The sequence below is a fragment of the Homo sapiens genome, chromosome 15 (assembly GCF_000001405.40).
Source record: "Homo sapiens chromosome 15, GRCh38.p14 Primary Assembly".
NCBI classification, from domain to species: Eukaryota; Metazoa; Chordata; class Mammalia; order Primates; family Hominidae; genus Homo; species Homo sapiens.
Window position 1 is genome coordinate 66,352,591 of NC_000015.10, and position 22,360 is coordinate 66,374,950.

Genomic DNA, 22,360 nt, shown 5'->3' on the forward strand with positions numbered 1-22,360 from the left:
CCTTTTTTTTCTTTTTTCTCCTCAAATACCTTTTACCACAGCCACCACACCCCGGCTAATTTTTGTATTTTTAGTAGAGACGGGATTTCACCATGTTGGCCAGGCTGGTCTCAAATTCCTGACCTTGTGATCCGCCCGCCTCAGCATCCCAAAGTGCTGGAATTACAGGCATGAGCCACCGTGCCTGGCCTCACAGCCTCCTTTTTAAAACTCTCTATACATACCTTCATCAGGCTCAGTTCCTTCACCATCTTGTCTCTCTGGAGAGGCTGGAGGTGGGAAAGGAGGAAAAGTTTCATCTTCTACATGCTCATAATCTGGTAGGTCAATCACGCCATTCTCCTGTGGTTCTAGCATCTTTTCCTCTAGGGGAAAAAATTAAAGTTATTTGTATTCATCCAAAATAGTCTCCACTATATAGACAAGTTCTACCTGCAGCCATTTCATGTGTTTCAATCAGTTAGACCACATTTCAAACTCACACATCATGAAAAGTAGAGAAGATACTAATTATGAAAAAAAAGACTAGCCTAGAAATCTAAGTTCCAATGTAGACCCTAACACTAAATAACTATATCATTTTGAACAAATCCTTTTACCTCAACTATTGAGTTTCCCCTACCATAAAAAGATGAATTTGACTTTTCAGAGGGTTTCAAACTGTGATCCAATAGGGTATGAAATACGCAGGATATAGGTACTTCACCCCCACTTCAATTAGAGCTGCTTAAAAAAAAAAAATCTGGGCTGGGCGCGGTGGCTCACGCCTGTAATCCCAGCACTTTGGGAGGCCGAGGCGGGCGGATCACGAGGTCAGGAGATCGAGACCATCCTGGCTACACGGTGAAACCCCGTCTCTACTAAAAATACAAAAAATTATCCAGGCGTGGTGGCGGGCGCTTGTAGTCCCATCCACTCGGCAGGCTGGGGCAGGAGAATGGCGTGAATCCAGGAGGCGGAGCTTGCAGTAAGCCAAGATGCCGCCACTGCACTCCAGCCTGGGCGACAGACCAACACTCTGTCTCAAAAAAAAAAAAAAAAATCTGTTTATATACACCTACTACGTGCCCACAAAAATTAAAAATAAAAAAAAATTTTTAAATGTGTTTACATATTGGTCTTCTAGGTAAGGTTTCCTGAATGGGAAATTATCCTCAGGTTGATAACTCGAAAGAATGTTTTTCAGTACTGCCTTACTTAACTTCTCAATAACAACTGACACTTTTGGTCAGTTTTTTTCTGGGAAAAATGTTTACCTTAACTTCTAAGACATGCCGGTAATCCCAGCAGGAGGCAGAGGCAGACGGACCATGAGGTCAGGAGTTCGAGACCAGCCTGGCCAACACAGTGAAACCCCGTCTCTACTAAAAATATAAAAAAAATTTAGCCAGGTGTTGTGGCACGCACCTGTAGTCCCAGCTACTCAGGAGGCTGAGGCTTTCCTCCCTTTCTGGGCACTCCTCCTGGATTTTCTTTGCAGGTTTATCTTCTACCCCGGCCATTAAGTATCCAAGACTCCATCCTAGGGCTTCTTCATTCATTTATGCACAGAGCTTTAATAAGTACTGATTTATAGATGACTCCCTGATTTTTATCTCTACCCTAGGCCTTGACTCTGCGATCCAGATCACTACTTCCCATTTTACACTTCCTAAACGCCTGAAAGGCACCTGTAACTCAGCAGGTACAAAACCAAACTTCTAAATTTTCCTAACTCATTAAATGACATCTATCCAGCTATGCAATTCAGAAACCTACAAGTCATCTTTAGCAATTCCTTCCCCTATCCCACAGATCCTGCCCATCTTATTTCCTAAATATCCCTTGAATCTGTCTATTTCTCCTTATCTCTATAACCACTTCCCAACATTTCTTGCTTGCATTACTCCACTACTCTCATCCACTCGTCTCCTTCAATTGTCCCTATTACATCTAGACTGAATCTGAAAATATAAAGCTGATCACCTCACTTGGATTAAGTATTTCAATGGTTTCTGATTGCTCTTAAGATAAAGACAAAACTTCAAGGCCCTGTGTGATCCAGCCTCTTACTACCTCACCAGTCTCACTTCACACTACTCTATGCTTTTTCTTTCCTTGAAAGAGCTATATCCCTCAGGCCACTGGCTCTTTACAAATACTATTTCCTGTCTTGAAAAAGCTATTCCTTGACTCCTAATATCTTCCAGATCTCAACTATCACCTTTTCAAAAGTTTACCTCAATTTCTCTAAATCCTTCTTTAGTAAGCATTCATAGTGTCAAGTACAAGTGTCATGGCACTTATCCAGTTTCAATATCAGGTTTTATTTATACAGTTATTTATTGTTCGTCTCCCAAACTAGACTGTAGCTCAAAAAGGGCAACGAGGTTAAGTCTCTCTGTGTTACACAGCTGGAACCCCAATGCTGTTACACAGCAAGTGCTCAATATATATCTTTTTTTTTTTTTTTTTTTTTTGAGAAGGAGTCTCGGGCTCTGTCACCCAGGCTGGAGTGCAGTGGCGCGATCTCTGCTCACTGCAAGCTCCGCCTCCCGGGTTCTCGCCATTCTCCTGCCTCAGCCTCCCGAATAGCTGGGACTACAGGCGCCTGCCACCACGCCCGGCTAATTTTTTGTATTTTTCATAGAGACGGTGTTTCACCGTGTTAGCCAGGATGGTCTCGATCTCCTGACCTCGTGATCCGCCCGCCTCGGCCTCCTAAAATGCTGGGATTACAGGCGTGAGCCATCGCGCCCGGCCCCAGGTGCTCAATATATATTTGATGAATGATGGAATGCAAAAAAAAATTCCAGTTTCCCCAAATTGGAGTTAGACGATCTTTAAAATCTCACTAATTCTAAATTTCGGTTACCATAAATATAAAAGCAAAGCATCGGCTGGGCGCGGTGGCTCACGCCGGTAATCCCAGCACTATGGGAGGCAGAGGCGGACGGATCATGAGGTCAGGAGTTCGAGACCAGCCTGGCCAACACAGTGAAACCCCATCTCTACTAAAAATACAAAAAAAATTAGCGGGGCGTGGTGGCACACGCCTGTAGTCCCAGCTACTCGGGAGGCTGAGGCAGGAGAATCATTTGAACCCAGGAGGCGGAGCTTGCAGTGAGCCGAGACCGCGCCACTGCACTCCAGCCTGAGCGAAAGAGCGAGACTCCGTTTCAAAACAAAAACAAAGCATCAATTCCTGATCATGACCCACTGTAACTTCAAGCAAGCTACAAGAATCTATACTAGGGTTCAGACCTTTGAGGCTGACAGCGAGCTTTGAGTTTGATGACAGTACCTAAAATATATTAAGTGTACTCAGGAACTGGCCAAGCATGGGGTGGGGCTTGTCAGGAAACTGGTATTTCTTTCTTCTATTTGTAGTGAATAAGATGCTCAATAGACGACTTTTACTCCTCGTCAATGGTCGCATAACTGTCTCTTTTTAGACACTTATGAAATTGTCTGAACTTCCTCCTCTACTTCTCCAACTCCCAGAAGAGTGAAGGTAACAAATGTTATGTCCAAACCACGGTTTGTTCCCAGACCCTGGTTTCCAATGCCCACCTCTTTTCCAAGAAGTCCAAAGAGACGCCCCTCATCGCAAAGGAAGTGCTACCGTGCTGCCTCGATGTCCCCCTTGGGTGCCATCCCTGAAACATCGAACCTCCCATACCTCTTCTCCAGCCGTCCCCCTCATCCTCGTTCCCCGCCTACCCTCTCTTCAACTTCATTCATTCATCCAACATTCGCTGGGGGATTTCTACATTGACACGCCCCGGACAGAAGCCTGGGGTAAAGATGATCAGGAACACGTTCCCTCCCGCTAAGCGGCTTGGCAGAGTAAGAGGCATCCCAAAACCTAAGCAACCGGGACACGCGCCCACCTCCCCGCCTCTCCAGGCCGGGTCAGGTCGACCCCCCAACCTCCTGACCCCCTTCCTGCGACAATTAGGCTTTCCCGCTAGTCTGTCTGGCTCCCTGGCTCTTCCATCTGGCTCCCTGGCTAGTCCGACTCCCCTCTCCCCGCAAGAACTTCATTGGCCCGCCAGCCAGCTCTCACCTCACGCAGAAAACACGGGACACAGCGCGGACCTCGGCGTGCAGACTAAGCGCGCTTCTCGCGATACTCGGGAACTCCTGGGGCGAGAAGGGCCCGCAGCGTTTGGCGCCAAATCCGTGCGGGGGGCTGGGCGGAGCCTGCAAAACCCGCCTCTCAGGTTCCGCCCAGCACGCCGGTCCCGCCTTCGGTCCCACAATTTCCGCCCTACTGAATTCTTCAGAGGAACTCAGTTAAGCCTCCTTATTTGCATAAAGTTAATACTTGTTATTCTGGGGTTTTTCTTTTTTTTTTTTCTTGAGACTAAGTCTCGCTCTATCACTCAGGCTGGAGAGCAGTGATTCGATCTCGGCTGACTACAGTCTCTACCTCCCGGGCTGAAACGATCCTCCCACCTCAGCCTCCCTTCCCCGACTAACACCACCACACCGAATTTTTGTTTTAATGGGTTTTTGTTTGTTTGTTTGTTTGTTTTGCAAAGACGGGGATTAGTTGCCCAGGCTGGTGTCGAACTCCTTAGCTCAAGCGATCTTCCCACCTCAGCTTCCCAAAGTGCTGGGATTACAGGCGTGAGCCACTGTGCCCGGCACTTTAAACCTTGGAAATAGGTCTCGGTTTTTGGAAAACTGAGTTGTGGGAGGAGGAAAAAGGACAGAGGCAAGCAATAGTGAATAAGAAATTACCGCTTCTTCAGAGTTCATAGCAGAATGCTTCGAACTCAGAGTTTTATGAATTGTTTATTGAATAATAAGCTGAGAAAAGAGGTGGTAAAGAGAGGAAAAATAGGGCTGAACATAGACACTGGCCAGGTGCGGTGTGGCTCGCCTGTAATCCCAGCACTTTGGGAGGCCCAGGCAGGCGAATGGCTTGAGCCCAGAAGTTGAAGGCGGCAGTGACTAGGATCGCACTGCTGGCGATCCAGCTGGAGATCCAGTCTGGGTGACAGTGAGATCTTGTCGCAAAAAAAAAAAAAAAAAAAAAAAAAAAAGCGAGAGAGTGTGAATGTAAACAAAAAAAAATGTCAAAAATATGTTACTTGGGGCCGGGTGCAGTGGCTCACGCCTGTAATCCCAGCACTTTGGGAGGCCGAGGCGGGCAGATCACGAGGTCAGGAATTCGAGACCAGCCTAGCCAACGTGGTGAAACCCCATCTCTACTAAAAATACAAAAATTAGCCGGGCGTGGTGGCGCGCACCTGTAATTCCAGCTACTTAGGAGGCTGAGGCAGGAGTATCACTTGAACCTGGGAGGCAGAGGTTGCAGTGAGCTGAGATCATGCCATTGCACTCCGGCCTGGGCGACGGAGCAAGACTCTGTCTCAAAAAAAAAAAAAGTTATTTGGTCAGACTTGGTGGCTCATGCCTGTAATCTTAGCACTTTGAGAGGCTGACGCAGGAGGATTGTTTGAGCCCAGGAATTCAAAACCAGCCTGGGCAACATACTGAGACCCTGTCTCTATTAAAAAGAAAAAACATTTTTTAAAAAGTTAACTTTTCCATTTTTAAATAGTAAGTCCAAATATATTTGTATTTGTTTGTATACACACAAACATACACACACAACCTCAGAAAAATATATAACTAGAACCTATGCAATGAAAGTGGCATATGGGATAGAGTGGGATGGGAACTTAACTATAATTTTTTTTGAACATACAAATGTATTAACTATTCAAAAAACTAAATTTAAAAATGTTATCTGAAGCAAATATAGCATCATTAAGATTTGCCAAACCTAGAAGATAATTAGGGAATACTGGCAGCATTATTCTCTCCACTTTTCTTTCTTTCTCTCTGTCTTTTTTTTTTTTTCTTCTTTGAGATGGTCTCACTTTGTTGCTGAGGCTGGAATGCAGTGGTGCGATCACAGCTAGAATCAGGTGATCCTCCCTCCCCAGCCTCCCAGGTAACTGGCACTACAGGCTCGCACCACCACACCCAGCTAATTTTTTAAATTTTTTGTAGAGATGGGAGTTTCGCCATGTTGCCCAGGCTGGTCTCCAACGCCTGGTCTCCAGCGATCCTCCCCTCCTCAGCCTCCCAAGGTGTTGGGATTACAGGCGTGAGCCACCGCACCCAGCTACTTTTCTGTAGCTTGAAACATTTTATTAAAAATTTAAAAAGTGAAGCCAGGTGCAGTGGCTCACACCTGTAATCCCAGCACTTTGGGAGGCCAAGGTGGGTGGATCACCTGAGGTCAGGAATTCGAGACCAGCCTGGCCAACATGGTGAAACCCCGTCTCAATAAAAATACAATAATTAGCCAGGTGTGGTGGGTGCCTGCCTGTAATCCTAGCTACTCGGGAGGCTGAGGCGAGAGAATCGCTTGAACCCAGGAGGCAGAGATTGCAGTGAGCAAGATCACACCACGGCACTCCAGCCTGGGTGATATAACTAGACTCTGTCTCAAAAAAAAAAAAAAATTTAAAAAACACTGGGTCCCGGATGTCGAGGCTGCAGTGAGCCATGATCATGCCACTGCACTCCAGCCTGGGTAACAGAGTGAGACCCTGTCTCAAAACACACACACACACACACAGACACACACACACACACACACACACAAAGATAGAAAGTAAATTACCAATTCTGTCTAAAATTATGTGTGCACATGTATCTATGTGTCACATTTCCTTTATTTTATGATTTTATTTCTATACTTGTGAGATAATATATATTAATATTAAGCAATTAATAAAATTAACATAAATTTAGTTTTTTTTGTTTTTGAGACAGATTCTTATTCTGTCACCCAGGGTGGAGTGCAGTGGTGCAATCTTGGCTCACTGCAGCCTCAATCTCCTGGGTTCAAGAGATTCTCTGCCTCAGCCACTCGAATATCTGGGATTACAGGCAGGCACCACCATTCCCGGCTAATTTTTGTGTTTTTTGTATTTAGTAGAGATGGGGTTTCACCATGTTGGTCGGGCTGGTCTCAAACTGACCTCAAGTGATCCATCCACCTCAGCCTACCAAAGTGCTGGGATTACAGGCGTGAGTCACCTCACCAGGCCTAAAAGTTACATGAATTTGAATGAGAAATGTCCATTTCAGTAGTCTGAATTGTTGAGACAAGAGGCATTCTTTTAATTATCCAGGTAAGTTTATATACTATACTTTTTGACTAATAAAGTAAATGTAAAAGCACTCTGAGAAGTTAAAAAAAGTTATACACCTTCCCCACGCCGCCCCCAGCCTGCCAAAAACGAACAGAGCAGATACTGATACTCTTGAAGGTTTAAATCTCAGTTCCGTCATTTACTGGTTGGTGACTTTTAACTCTGATTCAGTTTCCTTTTTTTATTTTTGATCACCTGAGTTGGAGTGCAGTGACACAATCATAGCTCACTGTAACCGTGAACTTCTGATCTCAGGTGATCTTCCTAACTAGGCCTCCCAAAGTCCTGGGATTATAGACATGAGTCACCCCGTCTAACCCAGTTTCCTCATAGGGTTGTAAAGAGGAGTAAAAAACCATATTTAATGGTATGTTACTGTAGTATCGCAGGTACTTCAGAGTCTGAGGCAGGAGGATTACTTGAGCCCAGGAGGTCAAGGCCAGCCTGAGCAACATAGGGACATCCTATCCCTAAAAAATAAAAATAAAAGTAAAAGACATTAATACATTTTATATAACTATCCATATGATTTTTGGAATGTTTCACCCTTTCAGAAAATGTAAAGATTTTGGCCGGGCATAGTGGCTCACACCTGTAATCCCACCACTTTGGGAGGCTGAGACAGTAGGATTGCTTGAGTCCAGGAGTCCCGGACCAGCCTGGGCAACATGGTAAAACCCCATCGCTACAAAAAAGCAGGAAAAGAAAATGTAAAGATTTTGTTAACTGTTTGTTGTTTTATCTGAGTTACAACCACAGTTGTCAGTCATTGATATTGTCAATAACTAATTGTCCACCGGATGCAGTGGCTCCCGTCTGTAATCCCAGCACTTTGGGAGGCCAAGGCAGGTGGATCACTTGAGGCCAGGAGTTCAAGACCAGTCTGGCCAAAATAGTGAAACACCGTCTCTACTGAAAAAACAAAAATTAGGCCTGATGCAGGTGGCTCAGGCCTGTAATCCCAGCACTTTGGGAGCCCAAGGTAGGCAGATCACCTGAGATCAAGAGTTCAAGACCAGCCTGGCCAACATGGTGAAAACTCATCTCTACTAAAAATACAAAATTAGCCCATCGTGGTGGTGGATGCCTGTAATCCCAGCTACTGGGGAGGCTAAGGCTGGAGAATCGCTTGAACCCAGGAGGCGGAGGTTGCAGTAAGCCAAGATCGCACCACTGTACTCCAGCCTGGGCTACAGAAGGAGACACCATCTCAAATAAATAAATAAGAATTAGCTGGGCATAGTGGCACACACCTGTAATCCTATCTACTCGGAAGGCTGACGAATGAGGATCACTTGAATCTGGGAGGCGGGAGGTTGCAGTGAGCAAAGATTGTGCCACTGCATTTCAGCCCGGGCAACAGAGCGAGACTTTGTCTCAAAAAAAAAAAAAAATTAAACTGAACATTTTAGTACCTTGTTCAGATTTATCCAAAACTAGAAGTTTAGGATCATTACCAAGTATTCCTTATTCTCTTTTCATTTTTCATAACCTTTCTATTGTAATTTTTTTTTTTTTTTGAGATGGAGTCTTGCTCTGTCACCCAGGCTAGAGTACAGTGGCACGATCTCTGCTCACTGCAAGCTCCGCTTCCCGGGTTCACACCATTCTCCTGCCTCAGTCTCCTGAGTAGCTGGGACTACAGGCGCCCGCCACCACGCCCGGCTAATTTTTTGTATTTTTAGTAGAGACGGGGTTTCACCGTGTTAGCCAGGATGGTCTCAATCTCCTGACCTTGTGATCTGCCCACCTGGGCCTCCCAAAGTGCTGAGATTACAGGTGTGTGCCACTGTGCCCCACCTGTAATTTAAAAAAAAAAAAAAAAACAGCAAAAAGCAAGAACCTATTGTCTTCTTTTCATACATGAGGAATATAAGAATATGTTTTTCTTAGCCATTTCACCGGAGATATAAAATATAGTTTTCCTACAGACCGTGTCATTAAAACTCTTTTAAAAGAGTTTAACGTTTTAGGCCAGACACGGTGGCTCATGCCTGTAACCCCAGCACTTTGGGAGGCTGAGGCGGGCAGATCACCTGAGGCCAGGAGTTTGAGACCAGCCTGACCAACACGGAGAAACCCCTTCTCTACTGAAAATACAAGTTAGCTGGGTGTGGTGGTGCATGCCTGTAGGAGAATCACTCCAATGTGGAAGTGGGGGGATGCAGTGAGCCGAGATTGTGCCACTGCACTCCAGCCTGGGCAACAGAGCCAGACCCCGTCTCAAAAAAGGAAATAGAAAGAAATTGAGGCTGGGCGCGGTGGCTCTGCCGGGCACAGTGGCTCATGCCTGTAATCCTAGCACTTGGGGAGGCCAAGGCAGGCGGATCACCTGAGGTCAGGAGTTCAAGACCAGCCTGGCCAACATGGTGAAACCCTGTCTCTACTAAAATACAAAAATTAGCTGGGCATGGTGGCACATGCCTGTAATTCCAGCTACTCAGGAGGCTGAGGCAGGAGAATCGCTTGAACCCAGGAGGCAGAAGTTGCAGTGAGCCGAGATTGCGTCACTGCATTCGAGCCTGGGCAACAAAGAGCGAAACTCCATCTAAAAAAAAAAAAAGAAGAAGAAGACTTTTGAAAGACCAAAAATTGAATATAGTGTCAGACTTTTTCTAGCAGGGAACCCAGTCCACCACAAATCTATATAGGCTCTCAGAGATCAGGTTTGAAAGAAGAGAAATGGAGGCTGGGCACGGTTTCACGCCTGTAATCACAGCACTTTGGGAGGCCGAGGCTGGCAGATCACTTGAGGTCTGGAGTTCGAGACCAGCCTGGCCAACATGGGGAAACCCCATCTCGACTAAAAATACAAAAATTAGCCAGGTCTGGTGGCACATGCCAGTAGTCTCAGCTGCTCGGGAGGCTGAGGCAGGAGACTGGCATTAACACGGGAGGCAGACGTTGCAGTGAACCAAGATCAGGTCACTGCACTCCAACCTAGGCGACAGAAAAGACTACATCTCAAAAAATAAATAAGTAAATAAAAATAAAAAGAAAAGAAATGGAGTCTCTTAAAACCAAAAGACCATGAACTATCTCAATCCCACATTAAAAAAGCAAAATCCCTGAGTCTTCTTTATTGGCTAGTGTTTTTTGGATTTATCACTTGTGTAAGTGCTGGGTTGCCAGTGATAGTGGTCTGCTGTGTATTTGAGGGACTCCATCTCAGGATTCTGACATATACTTGCCCCCACCTGTACACCACATGCCCAAACTGGCATGCCCAAACTAGCACCCATTCAGAGCTGCAGCAGCATTAACAATTCAGTTGGGCAGGCCAGAGAGTTAAGATCAGTTCAGCTGCAAATGATGGGGGGAAGATCCCAAAAACTAAATAGAGACTGGGTGCGGTGGTTCACATCTGTAATCCCAGCACTTTGGGAATCTGAAGCAAAAGGGTCTCCTGAGGCCAGGAGTTCAAGACCAGCCTGGGCAACATAGTGAGACCTTGTCTCTGAAAAGTAAAAATAGGCCAGGTGTGGTGGCTCACGCCTGTAATCCCAGACTTTGGGAGGCCGAGGCGGGCGGATTGCCTGAGGTCAGGAGTTCGAGACCAGCCTGGCCAACATGGTGAAACGCCGTCTCTACTAAAAATACAAAAATTAGGCCGGGCACGGTGGCTCACATCTATGATCCCAGCACTTTGGGAGGCCGAGGCGGGCGGATCACGAGGTCAGGAGATCGAGACCATCCTGGCTAACATGGTGAAACCCCGTCTCTACTAAAATGTAAAAAATTAGCTGGGCGTGGTGGCCGGCACCTGTAGTCCCAGCTACTCAGGAGGCTGAGGCAGGAGAATGGCGTGAACCTGGGAGGCGGAGATTGCAGTGAGCCGAGATCGCGCCACTGCACACCAGCCTGGGCAACAGAGCGAGATCTGGTCATTTAAAAGCATGCTGGCAACCTCTGCTTTCTTGATGACCTCACTATCTTGAAAAGAGCACCGCTGGGTGCGGTGGCTCACGCCCATAATCCCAGCACTTTGGGAGGCCAAGGTGGGTGGATCACGAGGTCAGGAGATCGAGACCATCCTGGCTAACATGGTGAAACCACATCTCTGTTAAAAATACAAAAAATTAGCGGGAGGTGGTGGCAGGCGCCTGTAGTCCCAGCTACTCGGAGAGGCTGAGGCAGGAGAATGGTGTGAACCTGGGAGGCAGAGCTTGCAGTGAGCTGAGACTGCACCACTGCACTCCAGCCTGGGCAACAGAGCGAGACTCTTTCTCAAAAAAAAACAAAAAACAAAAACAAAGAGCACCAAGCCATGAGGGATCCACCCCCATGACCCAAACACTTCCCACCAGGCCCCCATCCAGCACTAGGGATTACAATTCAACATGAGATCTCGGCAGGGACAAATATCCAAACCATATCAACATGCTATAGAGAAATCTTTCTTTTCTTTTTTTTTTTTTTTTTTTTTTTTGAGACAGAGTCTTGCTCTTGTTGCCCAGGCTGTAGTGCAGCAATGCGATCTCGACTCACTGCAACCTCTGCCTCCCGAGTTCAAGCAATTCTCCTGTCTCAGCCTCCCAAGGAGCTGGGATTACAGATGGGCGCCGCCATGCCCAGCTAATTTTTGTATTTTTACTAGAGACGGGGTTTCACCACGTTGGCCAGGCTGGTCTTGAACTCCTGACCTCGTGATCTGCCCGCCTCGGCTTCCCAGTGTTCTGGCATTACAGGCATAAGCCCATGCCCAGCCAAGAAGTCTTTCATGAAGGAAAGAGTAAAGACAAGCAACCATAAAGGACAAGGACCCTCTAAAGTTCCACTAAAAAATCAACTTGCAAAAGGCAGATTAATAAGAGAAAAGGATTACAAATGTATTCAACATGTATACACTGGGGCATTCCGAATGAAGACTCAAAAATACAGGGCAAAATATTTTTATGCTTGGGTTCAACAAAGTATGGAGAGGCATGTAGAAATGTAATTGGAGGCTCACACTTCTAATCCCAGCACTTTGGGAGGCCGAGGCAGGCAGATCACCTGAGGCCAGGAGTTCGAGACTAGCCTGACTAACATGGTGAAACCTCGTCTCTACTAAAATACAAAAATTAGCTGGGTGTGGTGGCAGGCGCCTGTAATCCCAGCTACTTAGGAGGCTGAGGCAGGAGAATTGCTTGAACCCGAGAGGGAGAAGTTGCAGTGAGCTGAGATCACGTCACTGCATTCCAGCCTGGGTGACAAGAGTGAAACTCCATCTCAAAAAAAAAGAAAAAGAAAAAGAAAGAAAAGAAAGAAATATAATTGGAGAAAAAGGCATTTGAACCAGAGCAACTGTGTCTTGAATAAGAGCTGAAGTAAAATGAGGATGAGACCCGTTGGGCTGCATTCCCAGGAGGTTAGGCATTCTTTGTCTCAAAATGAGATAAGAGGTCAACAGGACTGGTATTGCAAGAGACAGGTCACAAAGACCTGCTGGTAAAACAGGATATGGTAACAAAAGCCAGCCAAAACCCACCAAAATCAAGATGGTGGCGAAAGTGACCTCTGGTTGTCCTCACTGCTCATAATACATTATACATAATACATAATACATAATACATTCTAATACATTAACATGCTAAAAGACACTCCCACCAGTGCCAGGACAGTTTACAAATGCCATGAAAATGTCTGGAAGTTACCCTATATAGTCTAAAAAGGGGAGGAACCCTCCATTCTGGGAATTGCCTGCCCCTTTCCCAGGAACCTCATGTTTAATCCACCCGTTTAGTATATAATCAATAAATAACCATAAATATACTCAGTTAAGCAGCCCAAGCTGCTGCTCTGCATATTGTTTTTTTTGTTTTTTCTGTTGAGACGGAGTTTAGCTCTGTCGCCCAGGTTGGAGTGCAGTGGCACGATCTCGGCTCACTGCAACCTCTGCCTCCTGGGTTCAAGCAATTCTCTTGCCTCAGCCTCCTGAGTAGCTGGGATTACAGGTGCGTGGCACCATGCCCGGCTAATTTTTGTATTTTTAGTAAAGACGGGGTTTCACCCTGTTGGTCAGGCTGGTCTCGAACTCCTGACCTCGTGATCTGCCCGCCTCAGCCTCCCAAAGTGCTGGGATTACAGGTGTGAGCCACCGCGCCCAGCCTGCTCTGCATATTAGTTTACTTTTTTTACTTTCTTAATAAACTTGCTTTCACTTTACTCTGTGGACTTGCCCCAAATTCCTTCTTGCACAAGATCCAAAAACCCTCTCTTGGGGTCTAAATTAAGACTATGTTCCAGTAATCTCTTCCTGGCGACCACAAAGGGACAATATTGGAGAATCACCCTACCCAAAAGAAATATACTGCAGCATGAATTGCCCACCTCTTGTTAAGTGGTGGAGTATATTTTATCCCAGGTAAAAGGCAGAATTGAGTTAGAGACCCAATTTAGGAGAGTTAGAGTCCCTCCCAAAAAAAAAAACTGGGGGTTGGCCGGGCGCAGTGGCTCACACCTGTAATCCTAGCACTTTGGGAGGCCGAGGCGGGCAGATCATGAAGTCAAGAGTTCGAGACCAGCCTGGCCAACATGGTGAAACCCTGTCTCTACTAAAAATGCAAAAATTAGCTGGGCATGGTGGCGGGCGCCTGTAGTCCCAGCTACTCGGGAGGCTGAGACAAGAGGATTGCTTGAATCTGGGAGGCAGAGGTTGCAGTGAGACGAGATTGTGCCACTGTACTCTAGCCTGGGCAACAGAGTGAAATTCTGTCTCAAAAAATAAAGCACATTAAGCTGGGTGCAGTGGCTCATGCCTGTAATTCCAGCACTTTGGGAGGCCGAGTCAGGAGGATCACGAGGTCAGGAGATCGAGATTATCCTGGCTAACACAGTGAAACCTTGTCTCTACTAAATATACAAAAAAAAAAAAAAAAAAAATTAGCCAGGTGTGGTGGCTTGCGCCTGTAGTCCCAGCTCCTTGGGAGGCCGGGGCAGGAGAATTGCTTGAACCCAGGAGGCGGAGGTTGCAGTCAGCTGAGAATGCACCATTGCACTCTAGCCTGGGCAACAAAGTAAGACTCCATCTCAAAAAAAAAAAAAAAAGAAAGAAAGAAAGAAAAAAAGAAAAAGAAAAGAAATTCCAAGGAAGCAGTGGACTATGTGTGTCCAAAATGCAGGGAGAGAAATCCAGGGCAACAGTAATAAAATTGGAAGCCCATTGGCTGGGCATGGTGGCTCATACCTGTAATCCCACCACTTTGGGAGGCCAAGGCAGGTGATCACTCGAGGTCAGGAGTTTGAGACCAGCCTGGTCAACATGACGAAACACCGTCTCTACTAAAAATACAAAATTAGACATACGTGCTGGTGAGCACCTGTAATTCCAGCTACTTAGGAGGCTGAGGCAGGAGAATCGCTCAAAATGGGGATGCAGAGGTTGCAATGAACCAAGATCGCGCCACTGCACTCCAGCCTGGGCAACAGAGCAAGACTCTGTCTCAAAAAAAAATCTATATCTATATCTATATCTATATCTATATCTATATCTGTATCTATATCTATATCTATCTATATATCTATATCTATATCTATAGATATATATCTGTTGATGTTTTTGAAGAAAATAAATTAGTACATCTATGTGGACAGAAAAATCAAATGATACAAACAACAGACACAAAAAGCAAAAGGAAAGATTTTCTTCCCATTGAGCAAGTCTGTCTTTTTTTTTTTGAGATGGAGTCTCGCTGTGTCACCCAGGCTGGAGTGCAGTGGCATGATCTCGGCTCACTGCAACCTCTGACTCCTGGGTTCAAGCGTTTCTCCTGCCTCAGCCTCCGAAGTAGCTGGAACTACAGGCACCCACCACCACACTTGGCTAACTTTTGTATTTTTAGTAGAGATGGGATTTCACTATGTTGTCCAGGCTTGTCTTGAAATCTTGACCTCGTGATCTGCCTGCCTCGGCCTCCCAAAGTGCTGGGATTACAGACATGAGCCACCACACTTGGCTAGCAAGTCTTTCTAAATATAATCACTGTAAACAATTTTTTATGTTTTTTTTCCAAGAAAAAAAAAGGACATTACTTTGTGTTGCTATTTTGTTATTATGAGTAATGCTGAACCAAATGTCCCTGTTATACATAAATCTTTGTTTTTGTTTTTTTTTTTTTGATTCAAAGTCTTGCTCTGCTGCCTAGGCTGCAGTGCAGTGGCGTGATCTCGGCTCACACAACCTCTGTCTCCCGGGTTCAAGCAATTCTCCTGCCTCAGCCTCCTGAGTAGCTGGGACTACAGGTGCGCGCCACCATGGCTGACTAATTTTTGTATTTTTAGTAGAGATGAGGTTTCACTATGTTGGCCAGGCTGGTCTCGAACCCCTGACCTTGTGATCTGCCTGCCTCGGCTTCCCAAAGTGCTGAGATTGCAGGCGTGAGACCCTACGCCCAGCCTAAATCTTTGTACATCTTGGATTATTTCCCTAAAATAAATTTCTAAATTTGGACTATATACATCATGGGCATTATAGGAAATTGCTTTTTAAAAAAATAGTCTATAGACTGGGCACAGTGGCTCATGCCTATAATCCCAGCACTTTGGGAGGCCAAGGAGGGAGGATCACTTGAGTTCAGGAGTTTGAGACGAGCCTAGGCAACATAGCAAGACCTCATCTTTACAAAAAAAAAAAAAGCGCTGGGTATGGTATCACACACCTGTAGTCCCAGCTGCTTGGGAGGCTGAGACAAAAGGAGTTCCAGGCTGAGACTTGAGCCTGGGAGTTACAGGCTGTAGTGAGCCATGATCGTGCTACTGTTCTTCAGCCTGGGTGACAGAGTAAGACCCTGTCTCAAATAAATAAACAAAATAAAAATATAGTCTATAAACTAAGTTTGAATGGCACCTAGATTTGCCAGTTTCTGTGTTAGGCCCCAAATCCATAGAACTCAAAAGAAGTATGGATTATGATATATCCAAATATATTGAATTTATGCAAAATATGGCTTGCTATAACTTGAAATTGAAGGTGAGTATCAAAACTGGAGAAAGGTATGATAGACAAAGGAAAAATAATCATATTATTGTTTTTTGGCATAATCAAGACGTTTAATTAGAGATATTTGAAAATGTCCTAGCCAAACAAACCTACTAACAATCGATAAAACTAATTTTACCTATCTACTCTTTGGCAAGATACCAGAGACTTTTTAAAAGATCATGGGTCTGGCAATCAGATGATGTCCCTGTTCTAACCCTAACTAGCTGTGCGACCTTGGAGGACATCACTGAACTCTCTGAAGCTGAGTTTTCCTATTTATAAAGTGGGCTGCCTGAACACCAGGACCTCTAAAATTCGGCTCTAAAATTCTAAGATGAATTCAGTCTCCCACTCTTTAAATGCAAAAGCCGCATCTCAGGTGCCAGTCTAGGATCCAGTTACAAAGGTCTATCTATTTAGAGAAAGCATAGAGGGGAGCAAGGATAAATAGCTGCATGGTTCAGCGGTAATCATAATGACACAACAATGTTATCATTATAATAACAAGTTTATATTTTATGAGGCTGTACAATTAAAGCAATCTGGCACATTGCACAGAAGAGATTCCTTGCTCCCTGGGAGTATATAAATAAAGTACAAAATGCATGAATGTACCAATAATAATAGTTCACAATATCTTTTTTTTTTTTTTTTTTTGAGACAGAGTCTCGCTCTGTCGCCCAGGCTGGATGGTGCCATCTTGGCTCACTGCAAGCTCCGCCTCCCGGGTTCACGCCATTCTCCTGCCTCAGCCTCCCGAGTAGCTGGGACTACAGGCGCCTGCCACCATGCCCGGCTAATTTTTTGTATTTTTAGTAGAGACGGGGTTTCACCATGTTAGCCAGGATGGTCTCGATCTCCACATCTCGTGATCCACCCGCCTCAGCCTCCCAAAGTGCTGGGATTACAGGCGTGAGCCACCACGCCCGGCCTTACAATATCTTAAAATATACACGAACTCATGACTATATGCCATGCATAGTTCATTGTTGGAGATGAAACCTTTTCATGCAAATTCTCAGCTCTCTATAATTTGACCTGCCCCTGAGCAAGAGGGAATTATAAAAACACCGATAAACTTTATAATGGCTCTGCTGTATAGGTCCCACATCCTCTTATTATCATAGTTGCCTGATCACTGTAGCTCAAATGGTCATTCTCATTTTAAATTTCCTGCTTGTAATCTTTGCAAAGCACTTGGCAGGAAACGGATGATGCAGGGGTTTTCCATTGAGTGGAAGAAAGCATGAGGGAAAAACAAACAACAACAAAAAACCCCAATTATGACATGTATTTGAATGAATGTCCTGGGAAAGAGATTTGAGATTTGTTTACTCTCAAACCAGACTTGAAAATAAGAATATCCGGGATTCTGGACTGTGATTTCAAAGGAAGTCACGACTTCCTTCTCCACAGCTGCCCTCGAGGAAGCTGGTATGTCCTGAGTATATCTTCTTTCACTGCGCTATCCAAGGGTAAAAAGCAAAATACCACAGTACCACGTCTGCCAAGCCAGAACGAGGTCCCTACCCTGACTCCCACCAAAAAACAGGTGCTGGATCTGACATCCTGTATGGTTTAAGCCACATCCTTAGAGAGCAATTGAAATTGCATCATCTTTCACCTTGTTGAGGCATCTTTTCCTTTAATTAAAGGGCAAGAGACCATTAAAAGTGGCTCTCAAAATAACCTAGTGGTTTCATTGCATTCAGAATGTCGGACGTGAAGAACCAAGGAAGCGGATGTCCTTGGTGGGGGGCTGGAGGGGAGGAGGGCCAGCAGGGGCATGGGGCGGGGTGCAGAGGGGATAGTAATATCACTCTTTGCACTGTAACTCTTTACTCAGTTACTCAATAGGAACAGCTGCCAAACTCACAGGAGCTTAAAAATCCAGACAATGGATTTAAAAGCAATTGATATAGAGCCAGAGTTCTCTCAGGATTAAAGTATAGAAAAATGTGGTATTAAAATAAGAAAAAAAGTAAGGTGGAATTTCTTCATGTGAAATAACTTCCGTGTGCAATGAGCAAGTTTTTTTTATTTTGAATTTTCCAACTGAACTTTTCATAATAAAAGAATAAAAGATCTTAATTTGTAAGGAAGCAAATATGGACTTGCCACTAAAATAAAACTGTTCAACTGATAATATCATAAACCTCACTGATCCTATAATATCAACTGCACGTGAATATGGATGAAAGTGTATCAAGCAAGGCCAGGCGCGGTGGCTCACACGTGTAATCCCAGCACTTTGGGAGGCCAAGGCATATGGATCACTTGAGGCCAGGAGTTCGAGACCAGCCTGGCCAACATGGTGAAACCTCGTCTCTACTAAAAATACAAAAATTAGCCAGGTGTGGTGGCACATGCTGGTAATACCAGCTACTCGGAAGGCTGAGGCATGAGAATCACTTGAGCCCAGGAGGCAGAGGTTGCAGTGAGCTGAGATCTCGCCATTGCACTGCAGGCTGGGCAACAGAGGGAAACTCTCAAAAAAAAAAAAAAAGTGTAAGTGTATCAAGCTTTCTACTACCTGTTGTATACTTTTCTGGTCTCCCTCCCCTCAACTAATAAGGTAGTATTTGTTATATAATTTAAAAAACAGAAAAATTTGGAGCAAAACCCACAAAATTCTCAGAAGACGTAAGTGTTTTAATGTGAGAAAGGCCTATATCATTTTTTTCAACCTAAAAAGCAAAAGAGGACAAATAAAAATATATTTGGGTCAGTCTGCTTTATTTTCTGGGAAAAAAAAAGTTTTTCCATGAGTTTATTTATTTTTCTTTTCTCTGGTAATTGTTTCTTTTTTTTTTTTGGAGATGGAGTCTCACTCTGTTGCCCAGGCTGGAGTGCAGTGGCGCGATCTCGGCTCACTGCAAGCTCTGCCTCCCAGGTTCAGGCCATTCTCCTGCCTCAGCCTCCTGAGTAGCTGGGACTACAGGCACCCGCCACCATGCCTGGCTAATTTTTTTTTGAATTTTTTAGTGGAGACGGGGTTTCACCGTGTTGGCCAGAATGGTCTCGATCTCCTGACTTCGTGATCCGCCCGCCTCAGCCTCCCAAAGTGCTGGGATTACAGGCGTGAGCCACCGTGCCTGGCCTGGTAATTGTTTCTTTTGCCCAGGCTGGGGTGCCATGGCATGCTCATAGCTCACTGCAACCTCAATCTCCCCAGCTCAAGCAATTCTCTCACCTCAGGCTCCTGAGTAGGTGGGACTACAGGCACTTGCCATCATGCCTAGCTAATTTTTGTATTTTTTATAGAGAGAGGTTCTCACTATATTGCCCAGGCTGGTTTTGAACTCCCGAGCTCAAGCGATCCACCCACCTTTGCCTCCCAAAGTGTTGGGATTACAGGCATAAGCCACTGTGCCTAGTTGGTAATTGTTTTACTGAAGGGTAACATACAGACAGAAAAGTACACAAGTCATGAATGGAACACACTGTGTAACCAGCACCCAGATCAAGAAAGCAGAGGTTGCCAGCACCCAGAAAGCCCCCTTCATCTCACCTTCCTCACTCTCTTCCTCAAGGATAACCACTATCCCAACTTCTACCACCATAGACTAGGTTTGCCAGGTTTTGAACTTTATATGAAAGAAAAAAATAATATTACTTTCTTGTGTCTAGCTTCTACTCAACAGGATGTTTGTGAGATTTACGCATATTGTTGCAAGTAGTAGTCCATTTTTACAATGCTATGGAGTATTCCATTGTGTGAATTTATCACAATTTATCCATTTACTGAAACTTGGGTTGTTTCCCCAATAACTATTACAAATAATGCTGCCATAAACTTTCTTGTAAATGATTTTTGGTGAACATATATAGCCACACATCACATAAAAACGTTTTGGTCAACCACAGCCCACATATATGATGATGGTCCCATAAGAGTACAATAATAGGGCCGGGACCTGTGGCTCACGCCTGTAATCCCAGCACTTTGGGATGCCAAGGCAGGCGGATCACGAGGTCAAGAGTTTGAGACCAGCCCGGCCAACATGGTGAACTCTGTCTCTACTAAGAATACAAAAATTAGCCAGGTGTGGGGGCGGGGGCCTGTAATCCCAGCTACTTGGGAGGCTGAGGCAGGAGAATTGCTTGAACCTGAGAGGCGGAGGTTGCAGTGAGCTGAGATCATGCCACTGCATTCCAGCCTGGGTGACAGAGCAAGACCCCGTCTTGGGGAAAAAAAAAAAAGATTGTAATACCAAATTTTAATGTAGCTTTTCTATGTTTAGATACAGAAATATCATTGTGCTGCAACTGCCTACACTATTCAGTACAGTAATGTAACATATAGGTTTGTAGCCTAGGAGCAATAGGCTGTATCATGTAGCCTAGGTGTGTAGTAGGTTACACTATCTAGGTTTGTGTAAGTATACTCTATGTTGTTTGCTCAATGATGAAATCGCCTAATGACACATTTCTCAGAACATATTCCCATCATTATGCAATACATGACTGTATATCGAAATAAAATACACAGTCATGGCCGGGCGCAGTGGCTCACGCCTGTAATCCCAGCACTTTGGGAGGCTGAGGCGGGAGGATCACGAGGTCAGGAGATTGAGACCATCCTGGCTAACACGGTGAAACACCGTCTCTACTAAAAATACAAAAAATTAGCCAGGTGTGGTGGCGGGCGCCTGTAGTCCCAGCTACTCGGGAGGCCGAGGCAGCAGAATGGCATGAACCCGGGAGGCGGAGCTTGCAGTGAGCTGAGATCGCACCACTGCACTCCAGCCTGGGCGACAGAGCGAGACTCCGTCTCAAAAAAAAAAAAAAAGGAAAAGAAAAAGAAATAAAATATACAGTCATGTATATTTTGGGTCACAGGGAAGATGTTAAATCTTAGAAGATATCGCCAGTTTTCCAAACTGGTTACACAAATATACTCTCACCATCAGTGTAAGGAAGTCATAATAGTTCCACATCATTATCAACATTTGATATTGTCTTTTTCTTTTTTTATTAATTAATTAATTTGGTTTTTTGAGACAGAGTCTTGCTCTGTCACTCAGGGTAGAGTGGAGTGCAATAGTAGGATCATGGCTCACTGCAGCCTCCAACTACTGGGTGCAACTGATCCTCTTACCTCAGCCTCCTGAGTAGCTGGGACCACAGGCATGTACCATTACACCTGGCTAATTTTTAAATCTTTTGTAGAGACAGGGTCGCCCTATGTTGTCCAGGCTGGTCTTGAACTCCTGGGCTCAAGCGACCCTTTTGACTCGCCTTCCCAAAGTGCTGAGTTTACAGGCATGAGCTGCCATGCCCAGCTTGTCTTTTTTCAATTTAGCCAGAATAGTGGACGTAGTATCACACTGTGTGTTCTTAAATTGTGGTAAAATATACATAATAAAACATTTACTATTTAGATTGTTTTAATTTTTTTTAAGAGACAGGATCTTGCTATGTTGCCCAGGCTAGCCTTGAACTTCTGGGTACCAGGAATCCTCCTATCTTAGCCTCCAGAGTAGCTGGGACTACAGAAGTATGATCCCCTCACACTGTGCCCAGCTTAAATCATTTTTAAGTTTACAATTCAGTAGCATTAGGTACTTACACTGCGGTTTTAATTTGCATTTCCCCATAACTAAGGAATTTCAGCATCTTTTCATATATTTATCGACTATTTGGATATCTTCCCTTGTGAAGTTCCTGTTCAAGTGTTTTGCCCATTTTTAAAAGTGTATTTATTTATTTTGAGACAGGGTCTCACTCTGTCACCCAGGCTGGAGGCAGTGGCTTGATCTTCGCTCACTGCAACCTCTGCTTCCCAGGTTCAAGTGATTCTCCTGCCTCAGCCTCCCAAGTAGTGCATGCCACCATCCTCGGCTAATTTTTTTTGTTTGTTTGTTTTTGTTTTTGTTTTGAGATGGAGTTTCGTTCTTGTTGCCCAGGCTGGAGTGCAATGGTGCCGTCTCGGATCACCGCAACCTCTACCTCCCAGGTTCAAGCGATTTTCCTGCCTCACCCTTCCAAGTAGCTGGGATTACAGGTGCCTGCCACCACGCCCAGCTAATTTTTTTGTATTTTTAGTAGAGACGGGGTTTCACCATATTGCCCAGGCTGGTTTCCAACTCCTGACCTCAGGTGATCCGCCTGCCTTGTCCTCCCAAAGTGCTGGGATTACAGGTGTGAGCCACTGCGCCTGGCCAACTTTTTTGTAGAGACAGGGTTTCACCATGTTGGCCAGGATGGTCTCGAACTCCTGACCTCAAGTGAT

At 45.1% G+C, this 22,360-nt stretch overlaps 1 protein-coding gene across 11 annotated transcripts in view, besides 1 other annotated feature; it reads right to left on the reverse strand.

The window, feature by feature from the left end:
* TIPIN (TIMELESS interacting protein) overlaps positions 1 to 22,360 on the reverse strand; it is a 50,527-nt gene that overhangs the window by 16,400 nt on the left and 11,767 nt on the right. For 4 of the 11 annotated variants that reach the window (NM_001398285.1, NM_001398281.1, NM_001398286.1 and 1 more), the window contains exon 2: positions 225 to 365. Coding sequence is in view for 7 of the 11 variants with exons in the window: in NM_001398281.1 (NP_001385210.1) it covers positions 225 to 357 (133 nt within the window). In the remaining 4 variants the exon portion in view is untranslated. Of the gene's footprint in view, positions 1 to 224; positions 366 to 1,407; positions 1,532 to 3,552; positions 4,186 to 22,360 lie in introns of those variants that run through there. The other 7 variants (NM_001289986.2, NM_017858.3, NM_001398287.1 and 4 more) reach the window with 5 other exon arrangements.
* Positions 17,308 to 17,467: an enhancer, noted in NCBI's record as "active region_9611". NCBI's record gives its function as "activates an Ori minimal core promoter by ATAC-STARR-seq in GM12878 lymphoblastoid cells {active_cell/tissue: GM12878}" and the evidence as "EXISTENCE:reporter gene assay evidence [ECO:0000049][PMID:35858748]".